The sequence below is a fragment of the Homo sapiens genome, chromosome 11 (assembly GCF_000001405.40).
Source record: "Homo sapiens chromosome 11, GRCh38.p14 Primary Assembly".
Lineage (NCBI taxonomy): Eukaryota > Metazoa > Chordata > Mammalia > Primates > Hominidae > Homo > Homo sapiens.
In genome coordinates this window covers 26,428,559-26,455,883 of record NC_000011.10, presented here as the reverse complement: position 1 = coordinate 26,455,883, position 27,325 = coordinate 26,428,559, and the positions used below count along the sequence as shown (strand labels likewise).

Genomic DNA, 27,325 nt, shown 5'->3' with positions numbered 1-27,325 from the left:
ATCTATATCTCTGTTTTGGTGCCAGTACCATGCTGTTTTGGTTACTGTAGCCTTGTAGCATAGTTTGAAGTCAGGTAGTGTGATGCCTCCAGCTTTGTTCTTTTGGCTTAGGATTGACTTGGCGATGCGGGCTCTTTTTTGGTTCAATATGAACTTTAAAGTAGTTTTTTTCCAATTCTGTGAAGAAAGTCATTGGTAGCTTGACGGGGATGGCATTGAATCTATAAATTACCTTGGGCAGTATGGCCATTTTCACAATATTGATTCTTCCTATCCATGAGCATGGAAGGTTCTTCCATTTGTTTGTGTCCTCTTTTATTTCATTGAGCAGTGGTTTGTAGTTCTCCTTGAAGATGTACTTCACGTCCCTTGTAAGGTGGATTCCTAGGTATTTTATTCTCTTTGAAGCAATTGTGAATGGGAGTTCACTCATGATTTGGCTCTGTTTGTCTGTTATTGGTGTATAAGAATGCTTGTGATTTTTGTACATTGATTTTGTATCCTGAGACTTTGCTGAAGTTGCTTATCAGCTTAAGGAGATTTTGGGCTGAGACAATGGGGTTTTCTAGATATACAATCATGTCGTCTGCAAACAGGGACAATTTGACTTCCTCTTTTCCTAATTGAATACCATTTATTTCCTTCTCCTGCCTAATTGCCCTGGCCAGAACTTCCAACACTATGTTGAATAGGAGTGGTGAGAGAGGGCATCCCTGTCTTGTGCCAGTTTTCAAAGGGAATGCTTCCAGTTTTTGCCCATTCAGTATGATATTGGCTGTGGGTCTGTCATAAATAGCTCTTATTATTTTGAGATATGTCCCATCAATACCTAATTTATTGAGAGTTTTTAGCATGAAGTGTTGTTGAATTTTGTCAAAGGCCTTTTCTGCATCTATTGAGATAATCATGTGGTTTTTGTCTTTGGCTCTGTTTATATGCTGGATTACATTTATTGATTTACGTATATTGAACCAGCCTTGCATCCCAGGGATGAAGCCCACTTGATCATGGTGGATAAGCTTTTTGATGTGCTGCTGGATTCAGTTTGCCAGTACTTTATTGAGGATTTTTGCATCAATGTTCATCAAGGATATTGGTCTAAAATTCTCTTTTTTTGTTGTGTCTCTGCCTGGCTTTGGTATCAGGAAGATGCTGGCCTCATAAAATGAGGGAGGATTCCCTCTTTTTCTATCGATTGGAATAGTTTCAGAAGGAATGGTACCAGTTCCTCCTTGTACCTCTGGTAGAATTTGGCTGTGAATCCATCTGGTCCTGGACTCTTTTTGGTTGGTAAGCTATTGATTATTGCCACAATTTCAGCTCCTGTTATTGGTCTATTCAGAGATTCAACTTCTTCCTTGTTTAGTCTTGGGAGAGCATATATGTTGAGGAATTTATCCATTTCTTCTAGATTTTCTAGTTTATTTGAGTAGAGGTGTTTGTAGTATTCTCTGATGGTAGTTTGTATTTCTGTGGGATCAGTGGTGATATCCCCTTTATCATTTTTTATTGCGTCTATTTGATTCTTCTCTCTTTTCTTCTTTATTAGTCTTGCTAGTGGTCTATCAATTTTGTTGATCCTTTCAAAAAACCAGCTCCTGGATTCATTAATTTTTTGAAGGTCTTTTTGTGTCTCTATTTCCTTCAGTTCTGCTCTGATTTTAGTTATTCCTTGCCTTCTGCTAGCTTTTGAATGTGTTTGCTCTTGCTTTTCTAGTTCTTTTAATTGTGATGTTAGGGTGTCAATTTTGGATCTTTCCTGCTTTCTCTTGTGGGCATTTAGTGCTATAAATTTTCCTCTACACACTGCTTTGAATGTGTCCCAGAGATTCTGGTATGTTGTGTCTTTGTTCTCGTTGGTTTCAAAGAACATCTTTATTTCTGCCTTCATTTCGTTATATACCCAGTAGTCATTCAGGAGCAGGTTGCTCAGTTTCCATGTAGTTGAGCGGTTTTGAGTGAGTTTCTTAATCCTGAGTTCTAGTTTGATTGTACTGTGGTCCGGGAGTTTGTTATAATTTCTGTTCTTTTATATTTGCTGAGGGGTGCTTTACTTCCAACCATGTGGTCAATTTTGGAATAGGTGTGGTGTGGTGCTGAAAAAAATGTAAATTTTGTTGATTTGGGGTGGAGAGTTCTGTAGATGTCTATTAGGTCTGCTTGGTGCAGAGGTGAGTTCAATTTGTGGGTATCCTTGTTAACTTTCTTTCTCGTTGATCTGTCTAATGTTGACAGTGGGGTGTTAAAGTCTCCCATTATTAATGTGTGGGAGTCTAAGTCTCTTTGTAGGTCACTCAGGACTTGCTTTATGAATCTGGGTGCTCCTGTATTGGGTGCATATATATTTAGGATAGTTAGCTCTTCTTGTTGAATTGATCTCTTTACCATTATGTAATGGCCTTCTTTGTCTCTTTTGATCTTTGTTGGTTTAAAGCCTGTTTTATCAGAGACTAGGATTGCAACCCCTGCCTTTTTTCGTTTTCCATTGGCTTGGTAGATCTTCCTCCATCCTTTTATTTTGAGCCTATGTGTGTCTCTGCACGTGAGATGGGTTTCCTGAATACAGCACACTGATGGGTCTTGACTGTTTATCCAATTTGCCAGTCTGTGTCTTTTAATTGGAGCATTTAGTCCATTTACATTTAAAGTTAATATTGTTATGTGTGAATTTGATCCTGTCATTATGATGTTAGCTGGTTATTTTGCTCATTAGTTGATGCAGTGTCTTCCTAGTCTCAATGGTCTTTACATTTTGGCATGATTTTGCAGCGGCTGGTACCGGTTGTTCCTTTCCATGTTTAGTGCTTCCTTCAGGAGCTCTTTTAGGGCAGGCCTGGTGGTGACAAAATCTCTCAGCATTTGCTTGTCTGTAAAGTATTTTATTTCTCCTTCACTTATGAAGCTTAGTTTAGCTGGATATGAAATTCTGGGTTGAAAATTGTTTTCTTTAAGAATGTTGAATATTGGGCCCCACTCTCTTCTGGCTTGTAGAGTTTCTGCCGAGAGATCTGCTGTCAGTCTGATGGGCTTCCCTTTGTAGGTAACCCATCCTTTCTCTCTGACTGCCCTTAACATTTTTTCCTTCATTTAACTTTGGTGAATCTGACAATTATGTGTCTTGGGGTTGCTCTTCTCGAGGAGTATCTTTGTGGTGTTCTCTGTATTTCCTGAATCTGAATTTTGGCCTGCCTTGCTAGATTGGGGAAGTTCTCCTGGATAATATCCTGCAGAGTGTTTTCCAACTTGGTTCCATTCTCCCCGTCACTTTCAGGTATACCAATCAGATGTAGATTTGGTCTTTTCACATAGTCCCATATTTCTTGGAGGCTTTGTTCGTTTCTTTTTATTCTTTTTTCTCTAAACTTCCCTTCTCGCTTCATTTCATTCGTTTCATCTTCTATCACTGATACCCTTTCTTCCAGTTGATCGCATCGGCTCCTGAGGCTTCTGCATTCTTCACGTAGTTCTCGAGCCTTGGCTTTCAGCTCCATCAGCTCCTTTAAGCACTTCTCTGTATTGGTTATTCTAGTTATACATTCGTCTAAATGTTTTTCAAAGTTTTCAACTTCTTTGCCTTTGGTTTGAATTTCCTCCTGTAGCTCGTAGTTTGATCATCTGAAGCCTTCTTCTCTCAGCTCGTCAAAGTCATTCTCCGTCCAGCTTTGTTCCATTGCTGGTGAGGAACTGCATTCCTTTGGAGCAGGAGAGGTGCTCTGCTTTTTAGAGTTTCCAGTTTTTCTGCTCTGTTTTTTCCCCATCTTTGTGGTTTTATCTACTTTTGGTCTTTGATGATGGTGATGTACAGATGGGCTTTTGGTGTGGATGTCCTTTTTGTTAGTTTTCCTTCTAACAGACAGGACCCTCAGCTGCAGGTCTGTTGGAGTTTGCTAGAGGTCCACTCCAGACCCTGTTTGCCTGGGTATCAGCAGCGGTGTCTGCAGAACAGTGGTTTTTCGTGAACCGCGAATGCTGCTGTCTGATTGTTCCTCTGGAAGTTTTGTCTCAGAGGAGTACCCGGCCATGTGAGGTGTCAGTCTGCCCCTACTAGGGGGTGTCTCCCAGTTAGGCTGCTCAGGGGTCAGGGGTCAGGGACCCACTTGAGGAGGCAGTCTGCCTGTTCTCAGATCTCCAGCTGCATGCTGGGAGAACCACTGCTCTCTTCAAATCTGTCAGACAGGAACATTTAAGTCTGCAGAGGTTACTGCTGTCTTTTTGTTTGTCTGTGCCCTGCCCCAGAGGTAGAGCCTACAGAGGCAGGCAGGCCTCCTTGAGCTGTGGTGGGTTCCACTCAGTTGGAGCTTCCTGCCTGCTTTGTTTACCTAAGCAAGCCTGAGTAATGGCGGGCGCTCCTCCCCCAGCCTTGCTGCCGCCTTGCAGTTTGATCTCAGACTGCTGTGCTAGCAATCAGCGAGACTCCGTGGGCGTAGGACCCTCCGAGCCAGGTGCAGGATTTAATCTCCTGGTGTGCCGTTTTTTAAGCCCGTCGGAAAAGCGCAGTATTCGGGTGGGAGTGACCCGATTTTCCAGGTGCCGCCCATCACCCCTTTCTTTGACTAGGAAAGGGAACTCCCTGACCCCTTGCGCTTCCCGAGTGAGGCAATGCCTTGCCCTGCTTCGGCTCATGCAGGGTGCACTGCACCCACTGACCTGCGCCCACTGTCTGGCACTCCCTAGTGAGATGAACCCGGTACCTCAGATGGAAATGCAGAAATCACCTGTCTTCTGCGTCGCTCAGGCTGGGATCTGTAGACCGGAGTGGTTCCTATTCGGCCATCTTGGCTCCTCCCCTATAAGTCTGTTTTCTAATCATCAATTGTATGCTTTATGTTGAAAACTTATGCTGACTCAAGTGGGAATGCACTGTCTTATAAATTTTGTTTGCATGTAAGCATCAGTTCAAAACTTAAAGGAACTGACCAATATAATATAGCAGACTATTATGATCACAACATAAACCTTACAGCTATCTCTGGGAGTAAAATTTTAATAGCTAAATTATTCCAGCTCAGTCATTCTTCTTTACTATAATGTCATTTTATTTTGTTACTCCGTTACATTGCATTGTTTCAGCATTTGAAAATCGATGCTATACTTCCTGGAGAATTTTAAATGTGTGAGTAGATCTCTGACAAATATTGTCTAATTTGAGTCTCACAACAGCTTTCACTACAATTCTGCTCAATCTCTGTTTATAAGAAGAAATTAATATTGATATCTCCATTTCTCAAATCGGAAAACTCAGGCAAAGATGGTGTGTACCCAAGTAGTAAGTGACAGGGTTGGTACCTGAAACTGGACCTTTTGACCACCAATAAATATCATGATTTTAAAAATTATCCTACAGAAGCTTTCTGTGAAGAATAAATTCATGAATGGTCCATACATGGCTTGCTCTGTGGTTAGGACACAGTAACAACAAGGACCCAGACTTATTAATTCTTTGGGGTTCCTTTGTTAGCCTGCTTCTCCCTAGCCCTATTGTTCTAAAGTACTACCACTAGCCAGTAGCAATGAGGGTACTGACAGAGCTGTGCTCAATGAACAACACAGGGAAGCAAATCCTGCAGATACACTGCTTTCCATTGTGTCAGTGTGCTAGTGTTTTCTACTCACCATCTTTCCCTGCACTCTTCCAATCCTCACCCATCCACCCAAGTCAGTGAGTAGATAGCTTGCACCAAGCAATATGAGTAAGGCAAACATAAGTCACAGTTACTATCATCTAGTGAACAGTCATCCAAAGTGCTATAATAGAAAGGAAGTAGCATCTAAACAACTATGTATTAGGGAGGACTTCAGTAAGATTGATGTTAGAAAGGCAATTCTACAGCTGGGCACAGTGGCTCACCCCTGAAATCCCAGCGCTTTGGGAGGCTGAGCTGGGCGGATTGCCTGAGGTCAGGAGTTTGAGACCAGCCTGCCCAACATGGTAAAACCCCATCTCTACTAAAAATACCAAAAATTAGCCGGATGTGGTGGTAGGCACCTGTAATCCCAGCTACTCGGGAGGCTGAGGCAGGAGAATTGCTTGAACCCGAGGCAGAGGTTGCAGTGAGCCGAGATCGTGCCACTGCACTCCTCCAGCCTGGGCAACAACAGCAAAATACCATCTCAAAAGAAAAAAAAAAAAGGCAATTCTACTACTTAAGAAGAGTTTTGTTTTAAGCCTTTAAATACTCTATATAGAGGTCTATCATCACAATTTAAATACAAAAGAGAATAATATTTAGATCAGGTCCTCAGTGAGAAAATTAACAAAGCACTAACTCATAACTAGTGAGAAAACTCACAGTGATAAATGACATCACAGAGAGCAAAAACAGGGTGTATTCTATAGCAGACTCTCCAAAGAGATGTGCGTGCGTGTGTGTGTGTGTGTGTGTGTGTGTGTGTGTGAGAGAGAGAGAGAGACAGACAGACAGAGAGAGAGAGGGAATGCTCTTTCATCCATTTGTCTGTCCTAATCCTAAAAGTATTCTTTAAGCACCTACTATGGGTCAGGTACTATTCCTGATTCTGGTGCTAAAGGTGGCAGCAAGATTGACAGTTTCTGTCTTCTGGAAACACAGAATTGGGGTGAATAACCTAAATAAATAACTTTAGGTAATAAGTATTATGAAGAAAAATCCATCAAGATTAGGAGACAGAAAGTAAGTCTGATGTGAACCTAGCTTATTTCAGTGTAGAGCCCTAGGATAAGCACATATTTATTGTGAACAAGGAACACAAGATGGTTGAGCTGTCTGCAGCTCGTGAGAAAAGGGAAGCATCAGGAAATGGCCTAGAGAGACCAGACCCAGATTCTGTGAGGTCTCTGAATACCAGAGTGAGTTTGTGTTTTAAATGTAATGGGAAACCTGGAGAGACAGGAGCACAGAAATGATGGGATTTAATCTTCCTTTTATTAAAGCTTTCTGTGAGTCCTGTGTGGAAAATCATCTATAAGGAGGCAAGATTTTGAGCAGGGAGATCTGTTCGGAAGTTATTGTACCAGCGTACCAACAGAAGGTAGCAGACGGACCCAGGAGCAGCAGTGAATGTGGTAAGCAGTAGTCAGATTCTGAATATATTTTGAAAATTGAGGCAAGAGGACCTTATGTGTTCAATAAACAATTGACAAGATTTACAGTGACTGTGAGACTGTCATAACTGAAAAATATGTTCCTTCAGTGTAATTCCCTCATTTCTGTAATCTTAAGTAGCTTAGGAATATTAGAAGAAAGTTATTTCTTATGCCATCTTCATATAAAATGCTTCTAGGAAAAAATAATGGGAATTAGTGGATATTATCTATAGAATGAAAGTTATAGAATGAAAGCAAAATCACCATGTACTCCTTTGACCATAACTATTTAAAGAAATAGACCAATGAGTATTCCACTGAGCTAAACTATTATGTTTGTAGAAAGCAAATAAATGTTTCAGAACTCTAATATGAACCCATTCCTGAGGAAGTCATTTTATAACATTAGCAAAATGTTGATTTCATAACAAGATTAGACAGATGTGTGTTTGGGTTGGTTGGACTCAAATTATGCTGGTCTTAGTGAGCCCTAAATATTTCTTTCTTTTTTTTTTTTTTTTGAGACGGAGTTACGCTTTTGTTGCCCAGGCTGGAGTGCAGTGGCACGATCTCGGCTCACCGCAACCTCCGCCTCCTGGGTTCAAGCGATTCTCCTGCCTCAGCCTCCCTAGTAGCTGGGATTACAGGCATGTGCCACCACACCCGGCTAATTTTGTATTTTTAGTAAAGATGGGGTTTCTCCATGTTGGTCAGGCTGGTCTCGAACTCCCGACCTCAGGTGATCCACCTGCCTCAGCCTCCCAAAGTGCTGGGATTACAGGCATGAGCCACTGCACCCGGCCCTAAAATATTTCATTTCTAAGTTACCTGAGTTTATAGCCACATGGGCATGGGAAGAATCAAGCATCAGGCACTTGTTAACGTGGATTACTGTGTCCTTGTCATTTTCCAGCATACTGAGAAGAAAAAAACGTAGGCAATGGTAGTGGGGCTTCCAAGATTAATAAAGAAAATTATTGCCACACCAGGATTTCAAATTCACTGCTACAAGGGTCAGCACTTTTGAGAATAATTCTGTGAGTGTGTGGGGATATATGGGATGCTGCTCTGGCTTTGTGAGCTGCTTTATGTAAAACAGAATTAAAGGTTATGTGATGTCAATAAAAAAATGAAGAAGAAAACAAAAAAAAAATCAAACTCATTTTGGACTCAATTAGCTTTCTAACTAATCATTACCCAAATATATTTTAACATGCAGCTTTATCTTCACCTTGTACTTTCTGCCTGAAACTTACTAACATCTTACAGAACTAGTGTCTTTGGAAATCACTAACCACTTTTTACCTTAAGGCCTTTGTGGCTAGTGTGGTGATTAAAAGAGAAGGTTAGAGATCAAGCCTTCCTTGGTTGAAATCTCAGCTCTCCATTGGCTAGCTATGTGACATTTGGCAAATTATTTTCTCTCTTGGTGAATAAGCTTCCTCATCTGTAAAAAAGTGCTACCTAACTAAAAGGGTTGTTATGAAAATTAAGTGAGATAAGACAGGTAAAGTGTATAATAATAAGGAGTCCAGTAAATTATTGTTTATCCATCGTGCCATCATTATGCCATAAAAGTACCCCCCCCCACCTTTTTTTTTTTTTTTTTTTTTTGAGGCAGAGTCCCACTCTGTTGCCCAGGCTGCAGTGCAGGGGTGTGATCATAGCTCACTGTAGCCTCCAACTCCTGGGCTCAAGTGATACTCCCATCTCAGCCTCCTGCGTAGCTGGGACTACAGTCGTGCCACCGTGCTTGACTAATTATTTTCTTTTTGTAGAAACAGGGTCTCACCACTTTGCTAATGCTGGTCTTAAACTCCTGGGCTTAAGCAGTCCTCCTGCCTCAGCCTCCCAAAGCGCTGGTATTACAGGTGGGAGCCACCACACCCAGCCTAAAATCACTTTTGATGATCACAGAAACAGCTGTTTATTGTAGATCTCTCTGGGCCCAGCAGAATTTGGAGTGAAAGATAAGCTTAGTGAGTGACTGAATAAAGCAATGAACAAATATTTGTTGAACCCCCATGATGTGCTAGGAGCTATGATGAAGTTATACCTTTTTATTTACTTCAAGTCCTACTAAGAATGGCTCATTGATCCCAATTTACTAGTGAAATCACTAAAGCTCAGAGAGGTTAAATAATATACTACAGTTACACAGCTAGTGGATGTAAGAATAAAGATTTGACCAATGGCTGGCTGGAAAAATAACATTTTTTTCATGATATGTACCCATCCTGTTAGGGAGCCTTAGTAGAAATGTCCTTCTCTGAATCAACAAAGCCATTAATATTTTTTCCTTCATGGTTCTCCTTTGGAACAATGAGAAATATCAATCCTCAATGAAACACTGACCACATGCAGTTAAGTCTGCCTCAGCATTAATATTCTCATGGGGCAGCTCAAAGTGGTTAACTGTAAAAAAGCCATTAATAAGATGCATTAGTCAGGAAATTCCCATGCAATAATCAGCCCAATGCAGGAACCTGGTACTCTGCACGCTAAAGGCAAACTTAGAGAATGTAACTGCTTTGTATTTAAAAGAGAACATGTATTGCCAAAATGTTTACTCATGCTTTATTTAACTGTACTCTTGGTATATTTGACATTATTTTACTTGATTTCTTTTCAAAGATGATTAAAACAGTCATATTAGGCCGGGCGTCTTCTTTTCAAAGGCAATTAAAACACTTATATTATGTGGCTCATGCCCGTAATCCCAGCACTTTGGTAGGCCAAGGTGGGTGGATTGCCTGAGGTTGGGAGTTTGAGACCAGCCTGGCCAACATGGTGAAACCCCATCTCTACTAAAAATACAAAAATTAGCTGGGTGTGGTGGTGAGTGCCTGTAGTCCCAGCTACTCGGGAGGCTGAGGCAGGAGAATCGCTTGAACCTGGCAGGCAGAGGTTGCAGTGAGCTGAGATCGCACCACTGCACTCCAGCCTGCGCAAGAGAGAAACACTCTGTCTCAAAAATAATAATAATAATAATAAAATAAAATAATAAAAAACACTCATAGATATGCATCTAACTCTAAAAGAGTATTTCCCAGCCAGGTGTTACATCCAGTTGGATTCCTGAAATGCTTAGTGATACTACACAGTTAGCTGGAGACTGTACCTCACCTTCATTATAAAGGCAAACACCTCATCATTTGTATGTATTTTAACTGCAGAAGCTGTGATGTCTTTCTAACTTGAATAAATGACAGATTGATGCTGGGGGATGCTAAAATAGTGAATACGAGATACAGTGCCTGGAGAGATATAAACACAGGTCAGCTGGAACAAATAACCGAGACACACAAAAGTGATGAGAAAAGAATCATAAAGTTACGAGCATCCAATTATGTTAAGCATTCAGAGAAAGTGCTTTTTAATATTTGGAATGGCAAGCCATCAAAAATAAAATGCAAGGAATTAAATGGAAGGTTTTTTAATAGGGTGATTGTTAAACTATACATTGGTTCTAATTTGGAGGACAGGTTAGTAAAGGGTGCTTTGCAAACTTTCCCACCTGTATGGATATTTTGGACAAGAAAAACTTCAGGTTTGTTTTTTGTTCTTATTTTTTAAATTAGAAAATAACTGATAATATAGTTTCAGCTTCCCAAATCCAAAATGCTCCAAAATCTGAAACTTTTTGAGTGTTGAAATGATGCTCAATGGAAATGCTCACTGGAGCACTTCAGATTTCAGATTTTCAGATTTGGGATGCTCAGCGAGTAAGTATATAATACAAATATTCTAAAATCAAAAAAATTGAAATCTGAAATACTTCTGGTCTCAAGAATTTTGGATAAAATTTCTCAGCTTGTAGTAATCTTCAGAATTAATTACTACAGGAAAGGCCTTTGTATTCTGAGTGAATTTTTTTCTGATGAGATGCTCTTTTTGATTCTGTATATGAAATGAACCTGCTGGTTGCTGGCTTTAATTAAAAAACTTAATAAGCCAGCACTGTTTCTGTGCCACACATAAAACAAAAATTATTATAAGAAATGTGACTAATTTGCAGTCATTCAGAATGCTATTATAAATACCAAAATTCATAGTTTTAAAAGTTATGACGAGTGATTTAACAATGCCTGTAGAGAAAAACCAAGATACAGTTTTTAGGCCAGAAATTCTTTATCCTGGCCATATTAAATGTTTACTGGGCAGTTTGTTAAAAGTACGTATACTAATTTCACTCCTCAGACCAATTAAAACTGATTTTCTGGAACTGTGATCCAGGAGTTTTGAAAAGCCCTCCAGTGATCTGAATGTGTAACCAGAGTTGAGAACTCCTTATGTAGGCACTGAGGCCTGGCCACCGATGTATCTACTACTGAAAACTCAGGGCTTCATTTCTTCAGGTTATGTGTTAAGGCACTGAGGTTGCAAAATAAGTGTTGACACATTAGTATCACTTTTTGATTAATTCTGGCTTTATTTTATTTCTATTTAATTCATGAAAATGAAAACCCAATTCAAAAGAATTGTTTATGGGCAAGCTACAGATTTGAATGCAAAGCTTGCTCAACTGAAGCAAATCTTATGTGACAACATCAAAAGGCAAAAAAGGAGATTGAGTAAACTTGTCACTGTTATAGGAAAAATAAATAAAATTTATAGTATCCACTAATGATGGGCCAGGATAGAATCTCTGAGTGTTACTAACATTCTAAATTCTGAGTGTCAAAATGTTATAGATCTTGAAATAGTAGACTATATGTTCTTAAAAAATTGAAATTTTCAGAATAATGGCAAAAATTGTTATTTGTTATTATGAGACTGTTGCTCATCATAAATCCTCCTATATATTTGAATTCCAAACTATACATTTCTTAATTTCTTAACCTCAGAATATTATACTCACCTATTACGTTAAAAACCAAACATGAACTTTTTCTTAAAAAAAAAATGCTAGTTTTTTTTAGAAGAACACAGCTTACCTTTGGAGAGAGGGAAAGGAGTAGGTAAATACTGATTATCAACTTACCCAAACAAAAATCGCTGAGGTCAGCAAATGAACATCTCAGCACAGAGTCGTTTTTATTCTCCTCAGTATTAACTGAAATAAAATAAGATACTTTGTAGTTTTGGGAAATAAAAGCATAACAACAGAAAAATAACCATGGTTATAGATGGACAAATGATGGCCAAACATGATGAAATTTCTTAACTTAATGAATTAAAATTAGTTATTTAAAATGTCACTGTTTTTTCCGTTTTTTAAGAAACGGAGTCTCGCTGTCACTCAGGCTGGAGTGCAATGGCATGATCTCGGCTCACTGCAACCTCCGCCTCCCGGGTTCAAGCGATTCTCGTGCCTCAGCCTCCTGAGTTGCTGGGACTATAGGTGTGCACCATCATGCCTGGCTAACTTTTGTATTTTTAGTAGAGACAGGGTTTCACCATCTTGGCCAGGCTGGTCTCGAACTCCTGGCCTCAAGTGATCTGCCCACTTTGGCCTCCCAAAGTGCTGGGATTACAGTCGTGAGCCATCATGCCTGGCCTAAAATTTCACTTTCAATAAGGGAAAAAAGAAACACCTATATTATGTTTTAATATCTTCATCTTCTTGAACAGTTTGCCACTTTACATAGTAGACATATTTGTAAGCTAACTACAATATGTAGTGATTTCACAATAGTATTGAAACAATAATTTTGATATTTTTTAGTTATCCAGAAAAAGAAGCAACCATATGGAATCATAAGGGACTGCATTCTTATAAGAAAAAGCAACAAAAGGATTGAAAAATAAAAACATGGCTGGGTGCAGTGGCTCACACCTGTAATCCCAGGACTTTGGGAGGCCGAGGCAGGTGGATCACAAGGTCAGGAGTTTGAGACCAACCTGACAAACATGATGAAACCCAGTCTCTACTAAAAATACAAAAATTAGCCAGGCATGGTGGTGTGTGCCTGTAATCCCAGTACTCAGGAGGCTGAGGCAAGAGAATCACTTGAACCCGGGAGGCAGACGTTACAGTGAGCCGACATCGTCCCACTGCACTCCAGCCTGGGCGACAGAGCAAGACTCCATCTCTAAAAAAAGAACAAGAAAAACATACCCTATCCACTGCACAACAGGGAGCTTGGTTGTATTTAAATTCTTAACTCTTATAAAAGGGAGTTGTCTAAAGGGATAGTGTGTGTCTTAGTGGGCAAATGTGTGTAGAAGAGTGCCTAAGGGTAGCCACAGCGTTTCTTTGTGTGGCACCTTGCTGGTATGTCTCTAAAATTCAGCCCTTGCACACCAGCCTTGGGTTGCCAACACTTGTCCAACTAAATCTTTATGCCACCAAATCTTCAATGCTTTATTGTCAGTTGTAAAGTCTTCAGCCTTTATTTTTAGAAAACAGTTTATTACTGATGACATTTTCTATTTGAATACTGGTTATAAGTTCTCGCCAGGAATGTTACTCATCAACAAGAGGGATGCAAACAGTGGCCAAATGTACCAGTGATTCATGTAGCTGGGACTTCCACTGCAAACAAATATTAGGTCCAGACTCCATGGGATTGGCCACCTTCAAGGCAAGGAAGAGATAAAACACATCTGGCCAACAAATGGCATGGTGTACTGGTCTCCTTTCTATGCCAGCCTCCTTCCTGAAGAGCTCTATAAAACTGGTCCAATGGAAAAAGGAAGGAAAGGAGTGTTTGGAAAACACGTAGTTTTTATAAATTGAACAAGAAAATAGGAATTGCTGCTCACCTTGCTCTGCTTTGTCAGTGGAGATTAAGGTTATAGATGTGGGAGCCTGAGATTCACTCTCGGTTGACTGGAAGAGGGAAGTAGACTGGCTCAAGCTCTTTGAGTAAGCGTAGCTCTGGGCGAGGCAAGGCAGGGATCTCCGAGACGGTTTTAACGAAGTTTCTTTTGTTATCTCACTCTTGCTTATATTCATACCTGCAAATCCAAAATGTTGAGTTTTAGCAATAAAAAATCAATCAGTAGAGGTCAATAAAAAGTTTTAATTCTTGTGATACCTGTTTCAGGAATGAACTATTGAAAAGTGCCACTTAGATATTAGAAATAATTGAGTTAGTCTTGTTTATGTTTTGTCAAGAAGAGTGTTTGAGATTTTTGTTAAATAGTTTTGAGACATAAACATCTCTGTTTCCTGTTTGAGCTTTCACCACTCCTTTAAAAGTTCTGTGAAAAAAGAAACTGATGTTTAAGTTCATTTGGGGAATTATGACAACAATTATTTGGATACTCTTTGAATAAACCTTATGATTTAGGCTTTCAAATAGCAAAATACATAAAACCTAATATATAACCATTGAAATTACTAAATGGGGCCCTTCTTTCTACGCCCTCCTCTCCCTTAAACACATACATAATGTCCTAACAGTGACTTAGAGGCTGGAAAGAGATAGCATAACATAGTATAAAAACTGGGCAGCAGGCCGGGCGCAGTGGCTCACGCCTGTAATCCCAGCACTTTGGGAGGCCGAGGCGGGCGGATCACAAGGTCAGGAGATCGAGACCATCCCGGCTAAAACGGTGAAACCCCGTCTCTACTAAAAATACAAAAAATTAGCCGGGCGTAGTGGCGGGCGCCTGTAGTCCCAGCTACTTGGGAGGCTGAGGCAGGAGAATGGCGTGAACCCGGGAGGCGGAGCTTGCAGTGAGCCGAGATCCCGCCACTGCACTCCAGCCTGGGCGACAGAGCGAGACTCCGTCTCAAAAAAAAAAAAAAAAAAAAAAAAAAAAACTGGGCAGCAAGCAGGGATCAAGACACCAACCCTGTGCTTAGTGTTAGAGCTACTTCCCTCATGCACAGAGTCTCATCTGCCAGAAGTCAGAATGCCCTTCAACCAAACTAGTCCTCCAAAAGCAGAAGTCCCCCTACACTGTGTGAACCAGGAAAGAATGGCTCCACTTCCCTGTCTCCATTCCTCTTCATCCCATAATGTCAATCCCAGGTCACTCCTCTCCCTTGGCACTCTAAACCTCAGTGTCTCTGGACACTCTCATTTCCAACATCTCCCACTCAGACTCTCTCACTATGTCCCTGGGAACTCACATAAAACATCAGAAAATCCACTTAATATCCTCCTTAGATTTTTCTGTGGATCACCCATTTCCCTCCATAATTTTACCCAAACCTGGCACTGCACCATATCCCCACAGTGACACTGCTTCTCTTGCAGCCGCCTCCAGTGGAGGCTCTTTTCTCTTCCACAACTTCTTATCAACTTTACTTGAGGTGGAGTAGATATCCTTATTGTACCTAATTGCCTGTCTCAGTTCATTCTTCATGTTTCCTCTCTAAAAATCAGTATTCAAATTCCTGTCATTAAACTATTCTTCTAGTCTTCTTTATTACTGTCATTTTCGTTTACCAGTTCCAGGTCATTTCCCATCATTTAAAAAGAATTTAGCTTTTAACACTACTCTTTTGCTTATTTTTTCCTAAACACCCCCTGTCATTCATATTATATATTTTGTTTTATTTCTGTATACCTCCCTAGAATGCAAGCTCTATGACACATGAGCCAAATAAATACTTTTCTTTATAAATTATCCAGTCTCAGGTAGTTCATTATTACCTGAGACTGAATAATTTATAAAGAAATACCTTATCAATGTGAAAACAGACGAATACATATGGTAAATTGTACAAAGCTGCTTGATCGTGAATCACTCCCTAAAAAGTTTCTTATTGACACCTGAGTTGAGATGTTGGCTATGTATGCTGTCTGTATAATGTGAATAAAACCATGAACCACCCCCGCCCTCCGCCCACACCCAGTGTTGTGTTTGGACTTCACACCACATGAGGCAAAGGGACTTTTTATTGTGGCGTGCCTATTACATGTCAGGTTTTGTGGTTGGTGCCTTTATTTATTCACTTTGAGGATATTTAAGTATTTTATACAAGCAAATTACATAAAATGTTCTCATTTTAAAAGGTTTTAAATTATAGAAGTAAATAAAATTAAAAATTAAAATTTGTTTTACTCTGATTCTTAAATTCCAGTCTCTTCTCTAAATGAAATGAATGTTATCAGTTTATTGGTCTTTGTCTATGTATTCATATATGTAACTATGTATAAAAATAGTTTTCTTACAAAAATGAAATTATAGTTTGTCACATTATATATTATGTCTTAGGTATTTTTTCCATCTCAACACATACAGATCTATCCCAGACTTTTCGGAGTTAAAAGTTTTTAAAGGCTTTATTGATATATAATCATATACCATAAAATCGATTCCTTTAAGTATACAGTTTAGCTCTTTTTAGTATATGCACAGAGTCGTGCAAACATCACTCTATGTGGCTTTAAAACGCTTTTATTATTCCTCCAAAAAGAAACATCATACCTATTCGCAGCCGATCCCCATTTCCTCTTCAGCTCAGTCTCTGGAAACTACTAACCTAATTTCTTGCCTCCATGCATTTGCCTATTTTCTCCCACTGCATGAGTTGTCTTTGCACTTTAATGATTGTGTTCTTGGAAACACAATGCTTTTAATTTTGATAAAGTTCAATTTATCTATTTTTTTTCTTTAGTTGTTTGTGCTTTAGGTGCTGTATCTATGAAACCATTATCTAATTCAAGGTCATGAAGATTTACTCCTATGTTTTCTTCTAAGAGTTTTATACTTTTAGCTCTTAAGTTTAGGTTATAATCCAGTTGTAGCTAATTTGTACATGGTGTGAAGGTAGGCTCCAACTTTATTCTTTTCCATGTGGATATCCAGTTGTTCCCATACAAGTTGTTGAAAATGCCATCGACTTGTCTTGGCACCCTTGTCTACAATCAATTATCCACAAATTTATGGGTTCATTTCTGAACTCTCAATTCTAACCCACCAATCTATATGTCCATTCCTATGCCAAAACCACAACGTCTTTAGCATTGTAGCTTCGCAGTAAGTTTTAAAACCAGAAAATCTGAGTTCTTTACTTTTGTTCTCTCTTTTCAAGATTGCTTTGGCTATTCTTAGTCTTTTGTATTTCTATATAAATTTAAGGATCAACTTGTCAATTCATGCAAAAAAGGCAGCTATGATTGATTTTTTTTTTTTTTTTGAGACAGAGTTTTGCTCTTGTTCCTCAGCTTGGAGTGCAGTGGTGCGATCTCAGCTCACTGCAACCTCTGCCCCTTGGATTCAAGCCACTTTCCTGCCCCAGCCCCCCGAGTAGCTGGGATTGCAGGTGCCCGCCACCATGCCTGGCTATTTTCTTTTTTTTTTTTTTTCTTTTTTTTTTTTTTTTGTATTTTTAGTAGAGATGGGATTTCACCATGTTGGCCAGGCTGGTCTTGAACTCCTGACCTCAGGTGATCCACCTGCCTCAGCCTCCTAAAGTGCTGGGATTATAGGCATGAGCCACTGCACCCGGCCGGCAGCTGTGATTATGATAGGGATTCCATTGAATCTATAATCACTTTGGGGGTAAGTACTGCTGTCAGCTAGGTGACCTGTAAATATTTTCTCTTAGTCTGTAGCCTATATTTTCATTATCTTACTAGTGTCTTCTAAAAAGCAGAAGTTCTTAATTTTGACAAAATCTATCCTGTGATTGTTTTATAGTTCATGCTTTTGGTCAGGTGTTTTAAAAACTTTCCTTTATATAAGTTTTGCATATTGGTTAGCTCCCGCTCTCTTTTGGCTATTGTAAATGCGAGTTTCTTTCCCACTGTATTGAAATTATAAATAATCAATTGGATTATTTTAAACAATTGAGTAAAATACTGGCTTTAGCACTGAGGTATAAATATTTTTTCAAGTTAAGAATGTACTACTCACTTTCCAGTTTATTATTTTTTTGTTCAGTAGTGTGTTGAATTTTTTCAAAGTTTATATAATTTTATTCCTTAGCTATCTTAATATGTTGAATTCCATTAATGGATTTTCTAAAATTAAATCCTCTTTTCATTCCCAGAAATCAAAAACAAAACATACTTTGTCTTGATTAATTGTTTTAAATATGTTAAATTCTAATTCCCAATATTTTTATTAGGATTTTTGTGATAATACTCATACATGAGTTACGTGTGTGTATGTGTTTAAATCAGACTTATGTATGTTCTCACTTATAAGTGGGAGCTAAACACTGAGCATACATGAACATAAACATGGGAAGAATAGACACTGCAGACTACTAAAGGGGTGGAGAAAGATGTGGGTTGAAAAACTACCTATGGAGGGGCTGGCCAAGACAGCCAATTAGCTAGTGTGCCCACTCTCGTGGAAAGAAATAGAAGGGGTAATAAATACAGCACCTACAACTGAAGTACCCAGGTACGTGCATTGAGATTCATCAAGAAAACAAGCTGACCAATGGAGAATGGAGAAAATCAAGACAGGATGACTATCTGACTACCCACCCCTGAGTGACACAGAGCCAGGGGAGCCTCCTACTCTCAGGGAAGCAGTGAGTGAATGTGTGACCTTGGGGACCCACTCTTCTCTCATGGATATTTGCAACCCTCAGGTTAGAAGATCCCCTTGTGAACCCACTCCAACAGGGCCTTCATTCTGACAGGCAGAGCTATGTGGAGTCTCGGCAGAGCAGCCACTTGGGCACACGTGGAGCCCCAGGAACTTTTGATGCCCAGGCTTCCTGGCAAAAGTGGCTGCAACTCCAGCAAAGTGGGAGGTTAGACCCTTGTACATACCCCTAGGAAAGAAGCTGAGTCCAGGGGGCTGAGCAGTGATGGTCTGCAGGCCCTTCTTTCACAGCACCTCGCAGGATAAGACCCACTGGCTTGGAACCCCAGCCTGCCACAGGTATCACTGTTACACCTCCCTGAGACGGAGCTCCCAGAGGGAGGGGTAGGCTGCTATCTTTGCTGTTTGGCAGACTTAGCTGTTGATGCCCTCTGGCTCTGGGGAATCCAAGGTGATTAGGGACTGAAGCTGTCCCCCGGAATACTGGAGCAGTTCTACAAAGAAGCAACCAGACTGCTTTTTCCACCACCGGACGAATCTCCTAACTGAGGTCTATAACCACCCCTGCCAGTGTTTTCCAGTCAGCAACTGTTCCAAAGCTCCCTGAGACAGAACTCCCAGAGAGAGGGGAGGACTGCCATCTTTGTTCTTTCACAGTCTTAGCTATTGTTGCCTTCGAGTTTTGGAGAGTGCAAGGCAACAAGAGGCTGGAGTGGACCCCCAACCCAGCACTATGAAGAAGTGGCCAGACTGCTTTGTTATGCAGGTCCCCAATCCTACTCCTCCTCACTGGGTAGGACCTCCTGACCAAGGTCCCCAGCCACCCCTGCCAGTGTGTTGGGGCTGGCAGCAGGTCCATACCTCCCTAGGATGGAGCTGCCAGAGGGAGGGGCAGGCCACCATCTTTACTGTTTTGCAGGCTTCACTGTTGATACCTTCAGGTACTGGAAAATTGGAGGTGATTAGAGACTGGAGCAGACCCTCAAACATATTGGAGCAGACTTATGGAAAAATGGCCAGACTGTTGGTTATGTGGGTCCCTGATCCAGTATCTCCTCACTGGGTCCACCCCCTGCTGGGACTTTTGAGCCAGTAGCAGCTCTGTAACTCCCTGGGACAAAGCTCCTGGTGTGAGGGGCAGGTTACCATCTTTGCTCTCTCACAGCACTAGCCCTTGCTGTCTCCAGTTCTGGAGAATCCACGGGAACAGTGGCTGGTCTGGTCCCTCAGCACAGAGCACCCATCTACTGGAAAAGTGGTCAGACTGTTCTCAACGCAGATCCCAGTCCTCGCTTCTCCTCACTGAACAGGACTGCCTGACCTGGGACTTCAGCACAACCTCCCTGCCCCCACATGACCATTGCAATCAGAGGCAGCCTAGCAGTTAAAGGAAAAATCACACACACACATAAGAAAGAACCAATGCAAGAACTCTAGCAACTCAAGTGGTCAGGGTGTTTTACCTCTCAAACAACTAAACTAGTTCTCCAACAAGGGTTGTTAACCAGGTTGAGTTGACTGAAATGACAGAAATAGAATTTAGAATATGAACAAGAACAAAGATCATCAAGATTTAGGAGAATGGCAAAACCCAATCCAGGAAACTAAGAATCATAATAAAATGATACAGAAGTTAACAGGTGAAAGAGCTGGTGTAAAAAAGAACCTAACTGATCTAATAGAGCTGAAAAAAACACTGCAATAATTTCACAATGCAGCAGCAAGTATTAACAGTAGAACAGACCAAGCTGAGAAAAGGATGTCAGAACCTGAAGACTTAAAGAAGACAGTCAGACAAAAGTAAAGAACAAAGAATAAAAAAGAGTGAACAAAACCTCTGATAAATGTGGGATTATGTCAAGAGACCAAATCTATGAATCACTGGAATCCCTAAAAGGGATGAGGAAAACATATTTCAGGGTATTGTCCATGAAAATCTCCCCAACCTTGCTAGAGAGACCAATAGTCAAATGCAGGAAATACTGAGAACACCTGAAAGATTCTACACAAGACCATCTCCAAGAAACATAATCATCAGATTTTCCAAGGTTGAAATGAAAGAATGTTAAAGGCAGCTAGGGAGAAAGGGCAGGTCACCTACAAAGGGAACTCCATCAGGCCAACAGTGAACCTTTCAGAAGAAACCCTGCAAGCCAGAAGAGATTGGGGCCTGTATTCACATTCTTAAAGAAAAATATCTTCAACCAAGCATTTCATATCCGGATCAAAAAAGACAAAGAAGTGCATTACATAATGGTAAAGAATTCAATTCCACAAGACCTAAATATCCTAAATATTTATGCACCCAAAATAGGAGCGCCCAGATTCATAAAGCAAGTTCTTAGAGACCTACAAAGAGACTTCAACTCCCATACAATAATAGTGGGAGTCTTTAACACTACCCTGACAGTATTAGATCATTAAGGCAGAAAATTAACAAAGATATTCAGGACCTGAACTCAACATTGGACCAAATGGATCTGACAGATCTTTACAGAACTCTCCACCCCAAAACAACAGAATGTACATTCTTCTCATCACTATATGGCACATACTTTAAAATCGACCACCCCACTGACATAACAACCCTCAGCAAATGCATAAGAACCAAAATGATACCAAACACACTCTTGGGTCACAGCACAATAAAAATAAAAATGAAGACTTAAAAAATTGCTCAAAACCATGCAATTACATGAAAATTAAACAACCATTTTCCTGAGTGACTTTTAGGTAAGTGAAATTAAGGCAGATATCAGGAAGTTCTTTGAAACTACTGAGAACAAAGATACAACATGTCAGAATATCTGGGACACAGCTCAGGCAGTGTTAGAAGGGAAATTTATAGCACTAAATGCCCACATCAATAAGTTAGAAAGATCCCAAATTAACAACCTAACATCACAACTAAAAGAACTAGAGAAGCAAGAGTAAACCAACCCCAAAGCTAGCAGAAGACAAGAAATAACCAAAACCAGAGGTAAACTGAAGAACGAGAGATAACAAATCATTCAAAAGATCAACGAATCCAGGAGTTTGTTTTTTGAAAAAATTAATGATGTACATAGGCCAATAGCTAGACTAATAAAGAAGAAAAGAGAGATGATTCATGTAAACACAATCAGAAATGAGAAAGGGAATGTTACACAGAAATACCGACCCCACAGGAATAAAAGTAACCATCAGAGAGTATTAATGAACACCTCTAGGCACACAAACTGGAAAACCTAGAAGAGATGAATAAGAGGGGACACATACACCCTCCCAAGACTGAATCAAGAAAAAATTGATTCCCTGAACAGACCTGCATCAACAGAACGACTGATTTCCTGAACAGACCAATACTACAAAATTGAATCAATAATCACCTAACAACCAAAAAAACCCCAGAATCAGATGGATTCACAACCACATTGTACCAGATGGATAAAGAAGAGCTGATAGCATTCCTACTGAAACTATCAAAAAATTGAGGAGGAAGGACTCCTCTCCAACTCATTCTGTGAGATCAGCATCATTCTGATACCAAAATCTGGTAGAGGCATAACAAAAAGGATAACTTCAGGCCAATATCCTTGATGAACATTGATGCAAAAATCCTCAACAAAGTCCATGCAAACTGAATGCAGCAGCACATCAGAAAGCTAATCTACCATGATTAAGTAGGCTTTATACCTGGGATTCAAGGTTGGTTCAACATGCAAATCAATAAATAAGACTCATCACATAAACAGAGCTAAAGACAAAAATCACATTTTTTTAAATTATCTCAATAGATGCAGAAAGGCTTTCAATAAAATTCAATATTCCTTCATGTTAAAAACTCTCAATAAACTAGGCACTGAAGAAATATACTTTAAAATAACAAGAGCCATCTATGACAAACCCACAGCCAACACCATACTGAATTGGCAAAAGCTGAAAGTATTCCCCCTTGAAAACAAGCACAAGGCAAGGATGCCCTCTCTCACCACTCCTACTCAACATAGTATTGGAAGTCCTGGCCAAAACAATCAGGCAAGAGAGAAAGAAAGAAAGGGAACTGAAATAGAAGAGAGGAAGTCATATTTTCCCTGTCTGCTGATGACATGATTGTATACGTAGAAAACTCCATAGTCTCAGACCCAAAGCTCTTAGAGCTGATAAACAATTTTAGCAAAGTTTCAGGATAAAAAAATCAACATACAAAAATCACTAGCATTCCTATACACCAACACCAGCTAAGCCGAGAGCCATCAGGAACACAATCCCTTTCACAATTGCCACACAAAAAATACCTAGGAATACAGCTAACCAGAGAGGTGAAAGATCTCTACATCGAGAATTACCAAACACTGCTCAAAATCAGAGACAATACAAACAAATGCAAGAACATTCCATGCTCAGGGATAGAAAGAATCATTATCATTGAAATGGCCATACTTCACAAAAAAATTTACAGACTCAGTGCTATTCTATCAAACTACCAATGATATTCTTCACATAATTAGAAAAAAACTATTTTAAAATTCATATGGTACCAAAAAAGAGCCCAAATAGCCAAGGCAATCCTAAGCAAAAAGAATAAACCTCGAGGCATCATGTTACCCGACTTCAAACTATACTACAGGACTACAGTAAACAAGGTAGCATGATACCAGTACAAAAACAGACTTACAGACCAAAGGAGCAGCATAGAGAATGTGAAATTAGGGCACAAACCTACAACCATCTGATCTTCAACAAAGCTGACAAAAACACACAATGGGGAAATGACTCCCTATTCAATAAATGGTGCTGTGATAACTGGCTAGCCATAAGCAGAAAATTGAAACTGGACCCCTTCCTTATACCATAAACAAAAATCAACTCAAGATGGATTAAAAACTTAAACACAAAATCCAAAACTATAAAAACCCTGAAAGACGACCTAGCCAATACCATTATGTACATAGGAACTGGCAAAGTTCTATGATGAAGATGCCAAAAGCAATCACACTAAAAGCAAAAAATTGGAAAATGGGATGTAATTAAACTTCTTCGCAGGGAAAGAAACTATCAAGAGAGTAAACAGACAGCCTACATAGGGGAAGAATATATTTACAAACTATACATCTGACAGAGATCTAATATCCAGCATCTATAGCGAACTTAAACTATTTTACAAGAAAAACTCAAATACCCCCATTAAAAACTGGGCAAATGACATCAACAGACACTCTTCAAGAGAAGATATACATGTGGCCACCAATTATGGGAAAAAAAAGCTCAATACCACTGATCATTAGAGTAATACAAATCAAAACCACAATGAGATACCATCTCACATCTGTCAGAATAATTATTATTAAAAATGTCAAAAAATAACAGATGCTGGAAAGGTTGTGGAGAAAAAGAAACACTTCTACACCGTTGGTGGGAGAGTAAATTAGTTCAACCACTGTGAAAAGCAGTTTGGTGATTCCTCAAAGAGCTAAAAAAAAGAATTACTATTCAAACCAGCGATCTCATTATTGGGTATATACCCAAAAGAATATAAATCATTTTACCATAAAGACACATGCACGTGAATGTTCTTTGCAGCACTGCTCACAATAACAAAGACAATGAATCAAATTAAATGTTCATCATTGCTAGACTGGATAAATAAAATGTAAAATGTGGTACATATACACTATGGAATACTACACAGCCATAAAAAGAACAAGATCATGTCCTTTGCAGGAACATGGATGGAGCTGGAGGCCCTCATTTTTAGCAGTCTAACACAGGAACAGAAAACCAAACATCACTTGTCCTCATAAGTGGGAGCTGAACAATGAGAACACATGGACATATAGAAGGGAACAGACGCTGCGGTCTATTTGAGGGTGGAGGGTGGCAGGAGGGAGACAAACAAAAATAACTATTGGGTACTAGGCTTAGTACCCAGGTGGCAAAATAATCTGTACAACAAACCTGTGGCACGAGTTTATCTCTGTAACAAACCTACACATGTATCCCTGTACCTAAAATAAAAGTTAAAGAAAAGCTACCTATTGGGTGTTGCTCACTACCTGAGTTATGGGGGCCATACCCCAAATCTCAGCATCATGTAATATAACCATGTAACAAACCTGCACATGTACTCCTGTTATCCATTATAAAGGTTGAAATTAAATAAATCTGGTTTAGGCTTCAAAGTTCTACATGGTTCATAAAAAGAATTTAGACATTTTCCTACATTTTTAGGAGCTAGCACTATACTGCCCAGTACAATAACAATCAGTCACATAAGGTCTTTTAACTTTAAATTATGATTAAATGAAGTTAAAAATTCAGTTCCTCAGTCATCGTAGCCACATTTCAAGTGCTCATTCAATAGCCATATGTGGCTGATGACAACCATACTGAACATCACAGATGTAAAATATTTCTACTGCCACAGAGAGATCTGGATATCACCAACATACAAGTCAATTAGCATTGAAACTATCCGATCCTTAAAGTTTGGTAGATTCTCCTATGAACAAATCTGCACATGGTCTTGATTGTGGGTGCAATTCCTTGAAAATTTTTGTTTTCTATACATCTGTTTAAACATTGTAATGCCACTGGAGTCAATTTGGACAAAAAGTATTTCCCCATTTTAGCTTTCAAATTGATTTGCATAGAGCTATTTCTCCTTTGTCATTTCTTATTTTGTATATCTGTGATTACTCATTTTATATTATGCTAAATAATGGTTTGTCTATTTCATTGATTTTTTTCCCCAAAGGAGCAGTACTTTATGTATTGCTTTTCTGTCTTCTATTTCATTAACTTCTTTTTTTCTTCTTTCTTGGTATTTGTTTTGTAATTATTTTTCTAACCTCTTGCGTTAGGAATTAAAATTTTTAATGTTCATCCTTCCATTTTTATTGATGTCAAGTATTTAAAGCTATAAATAATCTTCCTGACAGCACTTTAATTGTATGTCAAAATTCTGATACATGATGTGTTCATCATTATGTTTTAGAATTGTGCAATTTTAGTTATGTTTTCTTTTTTCAAATAAGAGTTGTTTAGGTTTTTTATTTCAAGGTAGAAGATCATTTGCAAGGATATAAGATTTGATATGTATACACACAAACACATACGTAGACACATACATATATATATGATCTACCTTATCCATTAAACCTTTAAGACTTACTTTTTTTTTTTTTTAGACAGTTGCTTGGGCTGGAGTGCAGTGGTGCAATCTCGGTTCATTGCAAACTCTGCTTCCTGGGTTCAGGTGATCTTCCTACCTCACCCTCTCGAGTAGCTGGGATTACAGTTATGTATCATCATGCCTGGTTAATCTTTTTATTTTTTATTGTTTTGTATTTTTGGTAGAGACTGGGTTTCACCATGTTGGCCAGGATGTTCTCGATCTCAAACTCCTGGCCTCAGGAGATCTCCCCGCTTTGGCCTCCCGAAGGGCTGAGATTACAGACGTGAGCCCCCGTGCCTGGCCAGTACTTTTACTTTTTGTCCTCTTGGTGTGTCCTGCCTTGAAATAAGGGTGTTAACTTTCTATTAGTGTGTTAGTATCTATCTCTTTGCATTTCCTATAATTCTATTTTATGAAGACAGGTACTTTCTAAATGATACTGATTTATTTATAACTATTACATTTTCATTGTGAATTTTAAGCATTGTCATCTTTAAGAATCAGGTGGCTTCTTTGTCTTGTTTAATGAATCTTAGCCTGAATTTTGCCTTGTCCAGTATCAGAACTGCAACCTTTCTTTCTAATTCACTTTTTTATGTATGACTCCTGTATACAGCACAGAGTGGGTTTTACTTTGAATACAATCTAAATGTTTTATTCTTTTAACAGGTAGGTTAAATCCATTTACATTTATTAATATAAATTACACATTTGGTCTCAAATCTGTCACATTAGGTTTTATTTTCTGAGGTTTTCATATTTACTTCATTCTCTACATGATATGTTTTTTTTTTTTGAACTTTTGGAATTTAGGAAATTTTGGATTTTTGTTTTAGGGGTTATCTTTATATGAATATATTTTATAATGTCCTTATCTCCCCCTTTCCTTACTTAGAATTCTACTGTTTGGTATTAGCTTAAGTGATATCCCTTGATCTCATCTAAAGACACCATAGGAAGAAACGGGTTTGCTTTCTGGTTCCAGTGTGTTTGCTGGACAGGTTCCTGCAGCACTCTCATCTTCTCCATTGTTGGTTTCCCACAGTGCATGGCAGCCAGTAGTATCAGTGGTCAGCAGCAGTAGCACCCCTACCCCCACCTGGGGTAGTTAGGTAGTAGAGTTCCTCCAGAAAAACACTTCTCAATGAATTGCGCTTACCAGCACCAGAGAGGAAATGTTTCTAGCAAGCTTCACCAACATGGCACTACCGTGACTTCTCAGTGACCCAGTGAGCCACGGCTGTGCCCTTCTAGCAAGGTCTACGACTCAGCTCTGATAATGGGGGAGAGGATGTTCTTCCTAAGGCAATCTATCTGTGTCCTAATGTAGTGGCTTCTCTTTATGTCTGCTGTTCCTATATTCTTTAGAGTTCTCGTTCATTTTTAATAGCCAATCCCTCATTATTCCTATCTTCTTTTACAGTTAACAATTATATTAAACTTTCTGGTTTCAAATTACTATGTTGTTTCTCACTTTTCATTGAACCCAGACTGATAAACACATACACACACACACACACACACACACACAAATTCTACAAGGAACAAATTGTTTCTTCATCTGATTTTGTCTTAGATTGATCATCTTTGGTTGGATGAAGCTGCTTCCCTAACTGACTCCTCGGGAAGGGCTTAAGGTTGCAATATCCTCTGAGTTCTAACATGATGAAAACTATTTTCATATGATATCAATACCTGAA

The 27,325-nt window shown here is 39.3% G+C and overlaps 1 protein-coding gene across 3 annotated transcripts in view; it reads right to left on the bottom strand.

Moving 5' to 3' along the window:
- Window positions 1-27,325, bottom strand: part of ANO3 (anoctamin 3) — a 474,482-nt gene that overhangs the window by 207,406 nt on the left and 239,751 nt on the right. For all 3 annotated transcript variants that reach the window (NM_001313726.2, NM_031418.4, XM_047427399.1), the window contains 2 exons: window positions 13,772-13,966; window positions 12,048-12,119 (listed from right to left, as the gene is read on the bottom strand). In NM_001313726.2, the coding sequence (NP_001300655.1) occupies window positions 12,048-12,119; window positions 13,772-13,966 (267 nt within the window). The remainder of the gene's footprint in view (window positions 1-12,047; window positions 12,120-13,771; window positions 13,967-27,325) is intronic.